Raw genomic sequence first — 16,611 nt, 5'->3', positions numbered from 1 at the left:
GATGGGAACCAGGCCTGGCTTTTATATCCCGGCTGCTATGAGCCGGCAGACGTCCTTCAAGATTCCTTTTCTTAGTGGCCCTTCCTCCAAACTTGGCCAGAATCCTTGTCCGGTTTATCAAATTCTATATGGGCTTTTCCATCTGCACACAGACTCGTTCTTACAGTACGTGCCTTGGGATGCAATGTAAGTCTTTGCTCAGTAGTAGAAATGCTACCTTGGAGGCAGAACTAATGCTACCAGGGATTGAATACCCTCCCTTCTGCAACAAGCAGGTGGCAAAGTGCTTCATTTCTATGAGCTAATTTTATCCTTGCAGAAACCCTAGGAGGTTGCTAGATTAATTTCATTAATTAACTAAATTAATTCTATTTTGCAAATGAAGACATAATCTTAGGGAGGCTAACCTGTTCCAAGGTCACATATGGGCTAACGGGAGAGCTGAAACACAACTCAACTGAATCTAACTCTATAGACATAAAGACTGATACTTGGCTGAGTGCAGTGTTGTGCACCTGTACTTCCGGCTACTCGGGAGGCCAAAGCAGAAGAATCACTTGAACTCAGGAGGCTGCAGTGAGCTATAGTTACACTACTGCACTCCATTCTGGGCAACAGAGAAAGACCTGGTGTCTAATTTTAAGAATAAATAAAACTAAAGGCATTTAAAAAAAAAAAGTGATACTTTGTGTGCATAAAAATCACCAGGTATAGGGAGGAAAAGGAGGGGCTAACAGGGAGGGGATTCTTAGATACTTGCACTCCAGGTACATGTCCTGCATGGGTGCTGGGGGACTCAGGGACATGTCACTAAAGGCCACAGGTCATGGAATGCTACAAGGGGAATCCCGCCTGCTGACCAGGGTTGGCTTGTGACTGCAGGAATCTCTGTAAGTTCAGGGAGAATATTCTGAATGCTGAGCGCTGGGCACCATGCCAGGAGTTCTGGAGGCACTGTTACCTCTTAGCTGCCACGTGACCTGCAACTTAGTCGTGGCTCTTCCCAGGAACAGGATGTCAGCTCCTGGCTACATCACTCACCACATCCGGGTATCAAATGAGTTCCTCATTTGTTAAGAAGTTGCGAGACTTCAGGGAAGATATATGGGTAGGGATTGGCAAGGTTGGCAAAAGAAAGTGTGGGTCATTACCACTGGCCTTCTCACATCTAAAGAGCTTTGGGAGGTATTAAAGGAGTAAAAGGATAAGGCCTAATCATTTGGTACTAGCCTTATGGCTGCTACAACTAAAGGAAAAGCTATATAGAAAGCACTCAATATGCATTCAATAAATGGTAAATCTAATAATAATTGGTTTATCATAATTATTAATGTTGATCAATTACATAACTTCCTATGAACAACAGATTGTCTTTCTAACTAGCCAATATCATTTTTATTTTTATTTATTTTTACGTTTTGAGACGGAGTTTCTCTTTCGTTGCCCAGGCTGAAATGCAGTGGCGCGATCTCAGCTCACTGCAACCTCCACCTCCTGGGTTCATGTGATTCTCCTGCCTCAGCCTCCCGAGTAGCTGGTACTACAGGCATGTGTCACCACAGCCGGCTAATTTTGTATTTTTAGTAGAGATGGGGTTTCGCCATGTTGGTCAGGCTGGTCTCGAACTCCTGGCCTCAGGTGATCCACCCACCTCAGCCTCCCAAAGTGCTGGGATTACAGGCATGAGCCACTGTGCCTGGCCACCAAAATGATTTATAAAGTCTAGGGCCTACTGTATAGCAGTAGACACCATTCTCACTCTTACAATGTACAGGGATACACTGTTCCAAACAACAGTGTATGGAAACATCAAGGTAGATGCCACCTCCAATGATCAGGGTTTAAGAACAAGTGACACTGAGCAGGCTTCCTTCCCAGTCCCTGCAGTGTGATTCTGGACTTTATAAGATACTGAGTTGTGCTCTGGCCTGTGCTCAAAGACAATTCAGACACAAGTGCTCCCTCAAGATGCTTACAATCGAGTTAAGGAGATGAGATACGTTTAAAAATTATAGGAAGGCGCACTTTGGGAGGCCAAGGCAGGTGCATCACCTGAGATCAGGAGTTTGAGACCAGCCTGGCCACCATGGAGAAACCCTGTCTCTTCTAAAAAAAAAATACAAAAAATAATAGCTGGGCATGGTGGCGGGTACCTGTAATCCCAGCTACTCGGGAGGCCGAGGCAGGAGAATTGCTTGAACCTGGGAGGCGGAGGTTGCAGTGAGGCGAGATCGCACCACTGCACTCCAGCCTGGGAAACAAGGGCGAAACTCTGCCTAAAAAAAAAATAAAATAAAAACAAATTATAATATTCAATATTATAAGGTAAATGAGGCTAATGGCCCCCACTCGCCCAAAAAAAATGGTCACGGAGGAAGAGTGCTGTGAGGAGTCACAGACAGAGAAACTGTTTTGGCTGGGAGCATTAACGGAAAAAGTTGTTTAAGTTATGCAGCAGATCTGGACGTGAGCTCTCACTATTCTAAAATACCACACCAAAAAACACCTAAGTGAAAAATTGGATCTACTTAGATGACAGTATCATGAGCATCAAAGTTTCAGTCTAGGAAACTGGGAAGATGCCATTGATTTATTTTATTTTTATTTTATTTTCCTTTTCAGATGGAAGCTTGCTCAGCCACCCAGGCTGGAGTACAGTGGCGTGACCTCAGCTCACTGCAACCTCCACTTCCTGGGTTCAAACAGTTCTCCTGCCTCAGCCTCCCAAGTAGCTGGGACTACAGGTGCCTGCCACCATGCCCGGCTCATTTTTGTATTTTTAGTGGAGACAGAATTTTGCTATGTTGGCCCTGCTGGTCTCGAACTCTTGGCCTCAAGTGATCCCCCTACCTCAGCCTCTTAAAGTGCTAGGATTACAGGCGTGAGCCACCACACTTAGCCAGATAAGATTGATTTAAAAAGAGAAAAAGAAGAGAAGAGAAGAACAAGTTGATGAGTTTCTCTGAGGACAGGTTGAGGGGGCCAGAGGACATTCTGGGGTAGGCAGCTGAACCACGACAATGGTCTGGAGGTGAGAAAACAGGGCAGAGGTGTCAGGCACTGAGTGATAAGAGATGATGTCCTAACATGGAGAAACCCCGTCTCTATTAAAAATACAAAAACTAGCCGGGTGTGGTGGCGGGCATATGTAATCCCAGCCTCTCAGCGGGGCTGAGGCAGGAGAATCGCATGATCCTGGTGGGGCGGAAGTTGCAGTGAGCCGAGATTGCTCCACTGCTCTCAAGCCTCAGCAACAGAGCGAGACTCCGTCTCAAAAAAAAAAAAAGGGAGATGATGGCCTAGGAGAGAAGGTGACAGTTCCAGGAAATGCAGGGAAGAAGACTTAGAACCACACGTTGTGGAACACATGTATTTAGGAGGCAGGAAGGAGGGCTAGTGAGCAATCATGGCTCACTGCAGCCTCGACCTCCCGGGCTCAAGCAATCCTCCTGCCTCAGCCTCCCGAGCAGCTGGAACTAAAGGCGTGCACCACCATGCCCAGCTAATGTCTTTTATTTTGTACAGGGCTGGATAGAGAATGTAGAAGGAAGAAGGGCTGGAGAAGCCATACTCAAGGCGGTACAGACGGGACTCCAAGGAGGAAATGAAGTTCTCAAACCTGAGAGCCCAAGAGCATCATCTGCAGGTGTTGAAACAGAGTCCAGCACTTTACAGGATAATGCTCCTATGACACCAGTTCCGAAGCATTATCCTGTGAAGTGTTTGGCAGAGTTTCTGGAAGAAGGATATGTGCATTCATTTTATAAATATTTAAAGGAGCCTCTGTGGGTGAGAAGGTTCAGAGTCCCTGTCCTCCAAAAGCTGCTCAACCTCCAGGGTCAGGAAAGTCAAATGCATTAGAGAAAATGCAAGCTGAGAATGGTCCGTTGATCAAGACAAACAGAAGGCCCCTGATAGTACCAGTGAGAAAAAAGAAATCCCTGCAGATGCAGCTGTCTCCTGCAGGGGCAGGGTCAATACAAGGAGAACTGGATGAGTGGGACATCTCAAGAGGGACTTCCAGGAAGCCTGGCTCTGGTGGAACACATCTGAGACAGCCTAAGAGCATTAGGGTGTTGAGATTTGAAAACGGAGAGAAACCGAAGAAGAGGTGGGGTGCAAGAGCCCAAATTCACCTTAAAGTGAATGAGTCTATAAATTAGCCAAGTAAAACAAGGCCCCCAGGCTCCCATGGAAGCACACAAATCCCCAACCTGACACTGGTTAGAAAGTCACCCCCTTGGCCAGGCACGGTGGCTCATTCCTATAATCCCAGCCCTTTGGGAGGCTTAGACAAGCAGATCACTTGAGCTCAGGAGTTCGAGACCAGCCTAGCCACATGGTGTGACCTTATCTCTACTAAAAATACAAAAATTAGCCAGGCGTGGTGGCACATGCCTGTAACCCCAGCTACTCGAGAGGCTGGGGTGGAAGAATCGCTTGAACCCAGGGGGCAGGGGTTGCAGTGAGCTGAGATTGTGCCACTGCACTCCAGTCTGGGTGACAGAGCGAGACTCTCTCAAAAAAGAAAAAAAAAGAAAGTCACCCCTTCACCTAAGATCCTTTATCATCCTTAACAGATGAAACCATTCTAGGACATTATAAGAACACTAAGAAAAACATCTTACTTTCTTTTTTCCTCACAAAAAACTCAGAGAAGAAAACAGAAACTCATTTCTGCAAAAATAAATGCAGAAACTCATTTCGACAAAAATAAATGTTATAAAATCCAATACAAAATTGGCCAAGTGCCATTTGGGAACCATTGTGTTTTTTAAGATTTTGATAAACAGCATTTGAGGAGGTTGAGGGGGAGAAGCGAACACTGCCTGTGATCAGGAAGGACTGGAGAGGGAGGTATGCATACCTGCTCCTTAACAATAAAACAAACACATGTCATCCAGGCTCATGGAGCATAAATTGGCAAAAAGAAAGCTACAAAACGGTAAGAACTAAAGCAAAGAACATTACAGAATTCTGTCTCAATCCCGCACTTTCAGTGATATGACAGAATAAACTATCGGTACCATCCCTGGGCTCAGAGCCCTGCTCAGGAGCAAGTATTGACCTAGTAGACTTGAAATTGCCCCTATACACTTTATAAAATTAATCAGGAGGCTGGGTGTGATGGCTCACACCTATAATCCCAGCACTTTGGGAGGCCAAGGTGGGTGGATCACCTGAGGTCAGGAGTTCAAGACCAGCCTGGCCAACGTGGTGAAACCCCGTCTCTACTAAAAATATAAAAATTAGCCTGGCTTTGTGGCACACGCCTGTAATCTCAGCTATTCAGGAGCCTGAGGTGGGAGAATCCCTTGAACCTGGGAGGTGGAGGTTGCAGTGAGCCAAGATCATGCCACTGCACTATAGCCTGGGCAATAGAGTGAGACTCTGTCTCAAAAAAAAAAAAAAATCAGGAAAGAAGTGAGGGGAAAATTAAAATAAACCAAGCGTGCAGCACATTCAGCATTAATCATTAGTCTCTGACCTGTTTCATCATAGTTTCTTAGTGCCTATTGTCCTAGAATGACTAGGACAATAGACCCTGTTACAAGATTACAGTCCCCTTTAACTGCTCTATAGATAACAACTTGAACATTATAAAATATTAAGTTTTCCCTTTGAGATATTCTTTCATGTCCTGCATACCAATGAAACTGCTGACATCAGCTGGTCTGAAGGACCCCACAAGAAGCTGACTCACCAAAGAACGCAGTTTCCACATCTTGATAATTTCATCCCCTTTACCCTGATCAATGAATGACCTTGATTCTCCAGCCTCTCACCTTCCATGATCCCCTTCAAAGCCCCAGCCCAGAAATCGTTGGGGAGGTGGATTTGAGGATCTCTTCCTGTCTCCTCACTTGGCTACCCTATACTCATGAAACTCTTTCTCTGTTGCAAATCCTGCTGTCTCAGCATAATTGATCTGTTACTGCACAGTGGACATACGAACCTGGTGGTCCTAAAACAGACTCAGCTCCACCTGCTTCCAGAACCAATGCAAAAGTGTCAGTGCTTGGGATTTTTATGTGTACTTGGGAAGTGGCCACCCAGTCCAGGACTTGGCCAAGTCTGCACATCCACAATGGTGGGCAACCTGACCTCTCAACCCTCACACAGTTGTTAAGCCTTGATGATGAGACTTACTGAATATTTCAATTGCCCTTCAGAGTATGGAGATTCAGGAGAATCTGTCTAAGCTTAGATGAGTGAGTGTTCCTCTACCTTTAACCTGCATCCGAATCACCAGTAAGTCTGAGGTGGCCCAAGAACTTGTATTTCTTACAAGCTTCAAATGGGGAGCTGCTGCATCAACTGGTCTGCTAAGTGCATATTGGGTGGCTCTGGCTTAGCATTTACCCCCCTGCCTAACTCCATCTGGGATGAATTAGACCCTGAGTGTGGGCCAGAGCTTACTCCAACTGAGCTGACATTCCAGAATCCCAGTGTTGCCCTGTCCATCTCCACTTTCCCCACTGCCTACGACCTACTTGTCCTGCCTCATCTAAAAAACTGAACCCCTTGGAAGTGACTTTGGCCTACATGGTGAGGGTTTGGCATGCCATTTCCAAAACTGGAATCTTTTAAAATATAGATATATTTAAATGTGTGTGTGTGTGTGTGTGTGTGTGTGTGTGTGTTTGTGTATGTGCATATATATGTATGTGTGTATATATATGTATATATACACATGTACACATATACAGTATATATATATAAAATACATATAAATACATACATACATACATACATACACACACACACACATATACAGAGACAGAGACAGAGACAGGGTCTGGCCTTGTTGCCCAGGCTGGAGTGAAGTGGTGCAATCACGGCTCACTACAGCCTCGACCTCCTGAGCTCAAGCGATCCTCCTGCCTCAGCCTCCTGAGTACCTGGAACTACCTGCACACACCACCATGCCCAACTAATTTATTTTATTTTGTATAGATGAGGTCTCGCTATGTTACCCGGGCTGGTTTCAAACTCCTGGCGTCAAGCAATCCCTCCCCCGCTCCCCACTTTGGCCTCCCAAAGCTCTGGAATTATGGATGTGAGCCACCAAGCTTGGCTCCAATACTGGGATCCTGATGGCTGGCCACCTCTGCGTGGGGCAATCTCACAATTAGGTCAGTCCCTGGACAAGGATCCCATATGGTCCTGCCTTCTGCTTTCATTCCCTGTTCCTGCTACCACTGCTACTACTGCCACAATTCTATCAACACTCCTTCTGACACCATCAACTCCCATTGCCACCACTGCCACGCTTATCACCAACACCTCTCCCCACCAGCAGCTGCTGAGGTTTGGGCATGCTGCTCACTGTGAATGCATGGGTTGTGACAGCTGGGGACGAGAACATAGCACATATGGCACGTTCCAATTAAGAAACAAAATAGAATGAAAATGCCTGCCAGTATTCCCAGAGTGAGAATCACTGGGGACCTTATGAAAATGCAGGTTCCGAGGCTCCTTTCTCGGTATCCCTAATTCAGTGGGCCTTAGTGGAACTGGCCAGCACCCCCAGGTCGTTCTCACGCAAACCCCAAACATCTCAAAAGCACTGGTTCACTTTTTTCATTGTTTTTACCATGTTTAAAATGTTTTGACCATTTTACAATATACAATTCACTGGCATTGAGTACATTCGCAATGTTGTGCAACTATCACCACTATCTAGAACTTTTTCATCACCCCAAACATAAACCCCATACCCATTGAGCAGCTGCTCCCCATCTCCCCTTTCCCAACCCCTGGTGACCACTAACATGCTTTCTGCCCCTATAAATTTGCCTAATACACATGGTTCATGAAAATGGAGTCGTAAAATATGTGGTCTTTTATGTCTGTTAATTTTGACGGTGCAGAAGAGGTGATTTTATGTTGTGTGTAATTTTGTTTTGTTTTGAGAGAGGGTCTCATTCTGTTACCCAGGCTGGAAAGCAGTGGCCGGATCATAGCTCACTGCAGCTTCCAACTCCTGGGCTCAAGTGATCCTCCTGCCTCAGCTTCCTGAGTAGCTGGGACTACAAGGATGCACCACCATGTCCGGCTAATTTTATTTATTTTTTGAAGAGACAGGGTTTTACCATGTTGCTGAGGCTGGTCTTGAACTCTGGGCTCAAGTGATGCTCCTGCCTTAGCCTCCCAAAGTGCTGGGATTACACGAATGAGCCACCATGCCTGGACCGTGTGTGTGAATTTAAAACCCTTGACCTTGCTGAAGGTCTGATTCATATTCTGTGGCCAGGGGGTTCTTCCAACCCCCATGCTGGTAATTGATGGACTGCAGGCTTGCTCCTAAAGCCCAGTCTGGTCAGCTGGCCTGCCCCTCCCCTGGGTTCCTCCTAGGCCACCTTCTCCCTGGGCACATCTCTGCTCCTAGCTTGTTCCATGGGTTTCCAAGTCTACCTCTGTCTGGAAGCATTTGGTGAGACACTTAGATAAGACTCCTCATCCTGATGGGACTTGAGTTCCTGAGCTCTTCAAGACTGGATGTGGAGAGAATCCAGCCCCTGCATGGTGACCATACCCTGGGCCCTCCCAGATGCCGGCCTTTCTCTCCACCCCAATGGAAACTTCCAGTTCTCTGTGCTTAGGGATTTATGACAGAGATCACAGTGAAAAAATGGTCTTCAACGCAGAGTTTGGCACAGACATTAGTCAGGACACTTGACATTTCTGCATCATCTCTTTTTTTCTTTTTTTCAGAGAGATTTCAATATTTTATATATGTAAGAATTAGCTTTGATGCCCTAGAAAGAACATAAAACACAGACTGAAAACACTTGGGTATCAGCTACTTGGGAAGCTGAAGTGGGAGCCCAGCTTGAGGTAGAGGTTGCAGTGAGCGGTGATTGCACCACTGCACTCCAGCCTGGGTGACAGAGTAAGATGCGATCTCAAAAAAAAAAAAACCACCTGGAAATACAGGTGCGCCTGAGAATACCTTTATGCCTGAAATAACCAATCAGCTAAATGTATAAAAGCAGCCCTACAAAGACTATTTTAAAATATTTTAAAAATATTATTAGACAAAGTTTTAAAATATTATCTTTAAAAATGAACGAAAAGATGGTGGCGCGGGGAGAAACTCGGTTGCATATTCTGCTCATGCAACCTAGGGGGTTTCTTATCTGTCCAATGGAGATAGCAAATCCCAGAAATGAACCTGGGTTTTGTGGGACCTGAAATTTACACAATTTGAGGCATTCTCTTTGAGAAACATTTTAAAAGCTTACTTTTGTAAGTTCTCCAAAAATGCATGACATGTAAACACACAACAAGGGGCCATCAGATGACCTCGAAGGGCACCCGTGCAAGTAAGGGGCCCAATGCGGAAGCTTTGTTAGTTTCTCAGTGAGAATACCAACTGGGGAGGCAGATTCCACCAATGCCAGAGTTCCTTTTCTGCTGACAATCACTATTTTTCAAACATTTCAAATACTATGCTTGTCTGTGTCTATAATGAAATATTTATATCCCCAAATTGCTAACCAAGCTCACTAAAAATGTCAGCTAATCAGGAAACACTCCAGAACACTAGTCAGCCAAATTAGATCTCCTTTGGTAATTTAACCAGTGAATGGGCTGTCTTGGAAACTCGTAACATTCCACAACATTTGTCTTCATACTTACTGGGTCCTTATTAAGAGCCACATGCTGTTGGCCTACAACAATTCCTTCATACCTCTTAAAGACTCTGTGAGGTAAAGGCACGATCGACCCCATTTTACAGATGAGAAAACGGAAGCACAGAGCGTGTGCTATGTGCTGAATGTCTGTGTTCCCTCAAAATTCATGTTAAATGCCAATCAATGCCTCAATGGGGTGGTATTAAGAGGGCAAGTGTTTGGGAGCTGATTAGGTCAGGAGGACTCTACCCTCATGAATGGGATGAGTGTCCTTACAAAAGAGGCCCCAGGGAGCTGGTTCACCACTTACAAGACATAGAAACACATAGAGAGACATCTATGAGGACTAGGCCCTCACCAGACACTGACTTTGGACTTCCCAGCCCCCTGAATTGTGAGCAATACATTTCACTGTTTATAAATTACCCAGTCTAAGGCATTTTTGTTTAACTTTGTTATTTTTTATTTTTATGGATACAAAGTAGTTACGGTATTATTTCTGGGACTGCAGGCATGCACCACTATGCCTGGCTAATATTTTATTATTATTATTTTTTGTAGACATGGGGTCTTGTTATGTTGCTCAGGCTGGTCTCAAACTCCCGGCCTCAAGTGATCTTCCCACCTCAGCCTCCCAAAGTGCTGGGATTATAAGCATGAGCCACAATGCCCAACCTGAGGTACTTCTTATAGCAGTCCCCAAATGGACTAAGACAGAGGGCCAGCAACTCTCCCTAGGTCACACCATTTGTAAGTGGCATGCCTACATGCATCACCATTGTTACCTCTGATTCCTGTGAATGTGATGTTGTGAAATCTCAAGTCATTTGTCTGCTAATACAAAGCTGCTGTGGCCTGGCCTGGGCTTGTCCTGAGAGCTGGCTCCCTCAAGTAGCTTGGAAGCACCCACACTTCTGATTACAGACTAATTATCAGTGTGTACAACATTATTCCACTGCACAGGGTTGCATGAGGACCAAATGTGAGTGCAAAGCACCAGTATGATGATCCCATTTTCTTCTGAATCTGCAGCCATCAGCACCAGTTTCAGAGAGTGAAGATAAAGGATTAGGGCTGTAACCATGAGTGGAAAGTTGGCCAGGCTGCAGGATGGGAGCAGCAGGCTCTGGACTTGAGGCAGGCGCCTCCTTTTTCTAGGCTGCCTTCTGCTGACTATGGTCAGTGCTCCGCAGAGAAGAGGCCTAAGGGCTGATTAAGAGGTTTCAAAAGAGTGGGCATCCAGGGAATCTTTTGGGCCTCCAACTCTTCTAAACAATACAATGAAGCTCTGAAGAAGCCTCAGGGATACAGGAGCCACATATATGGTGATACACACACACCCCACCCCAGCCTTGCCACTATGGCATGGGCCCATCTGTCTCTGAAATCCTGGGCTTGAAGAATAGCCATGGTGAGGAACCAAGCATCTAAAACTGCAAGATGAAATAACCCAGGAGGTGGCTGCATTGCATATTTTATTCTCTGAGCATCTCTCAGCTTTGCAGACTTAAATAATGCACTTGCTGACTATGGGCTGGAGCAAAAATGAGGCAAGAGTGAGAAACTTCAGGAAGAATGAGAGAGATTAAAGAGGGAAGCTTTTGCTGTGTATGAAAGCATTTTGAGGGCGATTCCATAGTGAGATCAAAGCAAGGACAAAAAGGACAAAAGAAAGCAAAAGACGAAAAGAAAAGCAAAGAGATGTGAGGTGCAAAATACCAAAGTGTTAAACCAAATATATCACACTGAGTTGTGCATTCATGAGGGGCACTTTGTAAAGGAAAGCCATCTCAGCTTCCAATTCCTTTGTTGAGAAATTCATCTCTACTGCTTCTTCCATTTACATTTTACCTTTTAGAAAATAAATACGAGTAGCCCAAACCTACAAGGAAACATCATAGTACGCATAAGCTATAGGCTATCCAGGTGAGAGCTCCAAGTTGTCTCCCCAATTTAAAAGAGCATTCCCCTACCTTACCCCATCAAAGGCATTTGAAAGTCTGGCATTTGCAGCTGATTCTAATAATAACACGTGAATTTCAGCAATCAAATTTGTCTACAGGCTGGGCTGTGTTTTTCTTTCATTATGTTCTTATTTACGGTGATATTGATTCCAAATGCTCAGAAGCTGGCGAATCTCTTCCTTGAAATAGCCAAAGTCACAGTCATTAAAGAGAGAGCAAAACAGAACACAAGAAATGTAAAGCCCTGGGGAGAACAGGGTTACACGCTGGTGCTTGGTCACTTCTTCCTCGAGTTTTCTTTAAACGCGTTTGGCAGCCGGGAGTGGAATAACTGAGGTGAGGCATCCGGCCAGTTCATCCTTCTCTAGCATTCTGGGGTGCTCCGTATTCAGGACCCTGAAGTTTCCAAGGTCAAAGGCAGTGTGAATCCTATGCGCAAACGAAATGCTCATGCCTGCTTACAGGAAATGTCCACGTTAAGTTACTAATGCATCATACGAGTGTTCTATCAATAGCAGCTCTTATTAGCATCCAAAAGGGCTGCAGAACCTAACATGTTTCTTCTAGCTAGCGGAGACTATCGAGCTATATAACATCAGAGCAGATGTGGACTGGAATGGCACTGTAGCACATTCCAGCTGAACATCAGCTCTGCTAATACCAAACCACCTGACCTTCCCACACTTCTCAATTATCTGGGCTAAAAAGCCAATGTACCAAAGCCAATTTCTTAGTTGTGACAGTATCCTAGAGTTTTGCAAGATGTTACCACTGGGAGAAACTGAGCGAAGGCTACATGGAATTTCCTGTTCATCTTTGCAACTTTCTGTGAACCTATAATTAGTTTGAACTAAAAAGGGTTTTGTTGTTGTTCTTCTTGTTTTTAAAAGCCAGTTAGTGGCTGAAGCTTTAGCTGGGGTTTTCACACACTATTGCTTGTGTAAAGATACACACTCTCATTCTTTCCTCCCTGGGGCCTAAAAAAACACAAAGAGAAATGTAAATGCACAACCTAGTTAGGATTACAGACCCACATAGCAAATGCTGTCACATTGCTATGATCTGGTTGGGGGCAAAAACAAGTATTCTTACTGATTAGGAAGGCTCTTTACAGGCAGGGGGGAAGGCAGGTGATGTTCAAATAAAGAGAGCCTGGCCAAGCATGGAGCTGTGTGATAACAAGTTGTCTCTCGGCTATTTCACTCAGAGCCTCAGCGACACAGGAAGAATGTTATCTCTTGGAAACACAAGACTTCTCCCATCTCTGCAATTATAAACCAAGAAGAAAAGCAAACAATGCCAGTGTGACTTCTCCAAAATCCCTTTTGGAAGTGCAGAGGGTATAACCTTCCACTCCAAAAAGTTTTCAGCCATCTTGCTTTCAACCTTTGAATACAACCAACCGAGACAAGATGTTGATCAGATATGCTTGTCGTACAGGGAAGTATTAGTGACAAGATGTACAACTGTCCAAATCATCAAGAAACTCAAATGATGGTGATGGGAGATAGGCAATTTCTGACACCTAAACCAAAATAACTGTAGCATTCAAGCCAAAATATGTACAATGTGAAATGCAAAAGCTTCCAGAACAATTCCAGAAGTGGGGAAAAAAATCTCTGCACATGTGCAATTGAAATTAACCTATTCAGCAATTACTGTAATTTAGCTGTGGGCTAGATCCTGGGATTATGGCACAGAGCAAGCTATTGGTCTTACCATCAAGTGTCTTACCACTTAGAGATAGGCAGATAAATGAATGCAATTCAGTATGGTTTCCCAGTGTGGATGATATGCAAGTTGAATACCGATGAATGAACTGGAGTTAGCAAATCAAATAATGTCATGAGCACACTCAACAGTACCCTTTATGATATTGTTAGGACTTGCACTATGTGCCTTGCAAGTATTACCTCTAAACCTCACAATGAAAACCCTGAATGAAAGCTACTATTACCCCAACTTACACAAGGTCAGAAAAGTTAAGTGCCTTGGCCAAGACCACATAGCTAAAGTTTGGGCTGGGATTTTATTCCTCTCTTTCCTCCCCATGCTATTGCTTTAGAACAGCAGTCCCCAACCTTTTTGGCACCAGGAACAACTTTGGTGGAAGACCATTTTTCCATGGACAGAGCAGAGGGATGGTTTCAGGATGATTCAAGAGCATTACATTTATTGTGCACTTTACTTCTATTATTATTACATTGTAATACATAGTGAAGTAATTCTACAACTCACCATAATGTAGAATCAGTGGGAGCCCTGAGCTTGTTTTTCTACAACTAGATGATCCCATCTGGGGGTGCTGGGACACAGTGACAGATCATAGGCGTTAGATTCTCATAAGGAGCGCGCAACCTAGATTCCTCACATGTGCAGCTCACAATAGGGTTCATGCCTCTGTAAGAATTTAATGCCACTGCTGATCTGACAGGAGATGGAGCTCAGGTGGTAACGCGAGCAATGGGGAGTGGCTCTAAATACAGACGAAGTTTTGCTCCCTCACCCGCCTCTCACCTCCTGCTGTGCGGCCTAGTCCCTAACAGGCCATGGACCAGTTTATGGCCTGGGGGGTTGGGGACCCCTGCTTTACAACAAAGAAGGTAACAAGGTAAATTAAAAAAGTGAAGTATTAATAAGACATATAAAAGAGTATTGAGGGCCAGGCATGGTGGCTCACGCCTGTAATCCCAGCACTTTGGGAGGCCAAGGTGGGCAGATCATCTGAGGTCAGAAGTTCGAGACCAGCCTGGCCAACATGGCGAATCACCATCTGTACTAAAAATATTAAAATTAGCCAGGTGTGGTGGTGGGCACCTGTAATTGCAGCTACTCGGGAGGCTGAGGCAGGAGAATCGCTTGAACCTGGGAGGTGGGAGGTTGCAGTGAGCTGAGATCACACCACTGCACTCCAGCTAAGGCAACAGAGCAAGAACCTGTCTCAGAAAAAAAAAAAAAAGAAAAAGAAAAAGAAAAGAGTATTGAGGACACTAATTGTAAAAACAAAGAAGCTTCTCATAGTAGTTTAAGGAAAACTTTATGGCTAAAGTTACAACTCACCTAAGTTTTAAAGGCACAGTAAATTTCCATAGGATGTTGGAACTTGACAAATCCAAAAAGTGAAGTCCATTGCCTTCCCAAACCTGTGATTCTTAATTCTTAGCATATCCCATTCTTAATGAGAAGCACCAATACCCATCTTGTCACCTGAGCAGGGACCCTGGGGGTCCTCTTTGACTCCTGCCTCCTCTTTATAACCAATCAGTCATCATGTGATTCAGCTTCAGTGTTTCCAAATATTAAATAATTCAGCAGATAAAAACAGTGAATTTCATATCGGTGGTTAAAGGACTTACTATTAAATTGAGATAACCATACTTTGGGACAGAGTCTCTGTGTTAAAAAATTCTTACACTTTATATAAAAATATTTCCTCTGTCTGGAATTTATTTTGGAAAGAAACATTTACTCATAAAAATAGTTGTCGATATTTGTATAGTCTAAGCATAATGAATCACATTCTTAAGACTTTGGTATCAAAAAGAAAAGACTGATGGATTTGACTATATAATGTAAAATTTATACTTGCCAAAAAAGATTATGAATGAATTAAAGTGAGAAGCAAAAGTTGAGAGAAATGCCTGCAAAGTGATGTAAAAAAGGTTTGTTTAATATATAAAAAGTTCTTGATATACACCATGGAATACTATGAAGCCATAAAAAAAATGAGCTCATGTCTTGCAAGGACACAGATGAAGCTGGAAACCATCATTCTGAGCAAACTAATGCAGGAACAGAAAACCAAACACCGCATGTTCTCACTCATAAGGGAGAGTTGAACAATGAGAACACACGGACACAGAGAGGGGAGCATCACACACTGGGGCCTGTCAGGGGGTGGGGGACAAGGGGAGGGAGAGCATTAGGAGAAATACCTAATGCATGCAGGGCTTGAAACCTAGATGATGGACTGATGGGTGCAGCAAACCACCATGGCACATGTATACCTATGTAACAAACCTGCACGTTCTGCGCATGCATCCCAGAACTTAAAGTAAAATAAAATAAAAAGTTCTTGTAAATCAATAAGACAAAGATAAATACTCCAATAAAAAAGGGATAAGGAGTCATCAATAGGCAAACCTCTAAAAAATATATAAACATATGAAAAAGTATTCATCATCAATACTATTTTTTTAAATGCACACTTAAAAATGGAATGCCATTTCCCCTGCACCAGAACAACAAAGATGGCAAAGATTAATAAAATTCAGTGTTGGTAAGAATACAGAGAAAAAAAAGCCTTTCATATACTCTTCATGTGACATTACCACATACCTGGAAGACAGTTTATCAATTTATATTAAACATTCTCAAAGATGAATATAAAACTTTCAGAATAAGATGATGAATTTAACTCATGAATCAGAGACCACTAGTCAAAATTCACAAAAAAACTACAGTAAAAGGATTTCTAAAATAGACAAACAGCAACAACAAAAACCATAACCCTCCAAAGCCAGAGGAAATGCAAGACAAGACAACAGCCATGAAATTGAGGAAGCTAGAACGCAGAATCAGAGGGTTAACCAAGTGACAGATGTGTGACAGATGATCCCAAGCTAACAATGCCCAAAACTGAGAAATCAACTCGATATATACCAGAGGACACTCAAGAGGCAATGGAACCGGCAGCAGCAGGTGCCTTTGGAACTGGGGGTAAAATGGACAGACCAGAATAAGGAAGACTAGCACGAAGGCTATTTGAAAAGAAACTGATCGGTAAATTCCTACTCCCACATTTTTTTTGGAGGAGGGCAGGGGGGATGGAATCTCATTCTGTTGCCCAGGCTGGAGTGCCGTGGCGCAATCTCAGCTCACTGCAACCTCCACCTCCCGGGCTCAAGTAATTCTGCTGCCTCAGCCTCCTGAGTAACTGGGATTACAGGCGTGCACCACCACACCCAGCTAATTTTTTGTATTTTTAGCGTAGACGGGGTTTCATC

The 16,611-nt window shown here is 44.0% G+C and overlaps 1 protein-coding gene across 4 annotated transcripts in view, besides 1 other annotated feature; it reads right to left on the bottom strand.

Moving 5' to 3' along the window:
- The window catches only part of GALNT17 (polypeptide N-acetylgalactosaminyltransferase 17), a 581,456-nt gene that overhangs the window by 297,938 nt on the left and 266,907 nt on the right, over window positions 1-16,611 (bottom strand). The window lies entirely within an intron of this gene.
- Window positions 12,631-12,823: a silencer, noted in NCBI's record as "fragment chr7:70867825-70868017 (GRCh37/hg19 assembly coordinates)". NCBI's record gives its function as "represses an EF-1alpha promoter that drives an FKBP-Casp9 reporter gene in an ReSE screen in phorbol 12-myristate 13-acetate-treated (for megakaryocytic differentiation) K562 erythroleukemia cells {active_cell/tissue: K562(+PMA)}" and the evidence as "EXISTENCE:reporter gene assay evidence [ECO:0000049][PMID:32094911]".

This window comes from Homo sapiens, chromosome 7 (genome assembly GCF_000001405.40).
Source record: "Homo sapiens chromosome 7, GRCh38.p14 Primary Assembly".
NCBI lineage: Eukaryota > Metazoa > Chordata > Mammalia > Primates > Hominidae > Homo > Homo sapiens.
Note: the sequence above shows the minus strand (reverse complement) of the source record. Positions and strands in the feature narration are given on the sequence as shown.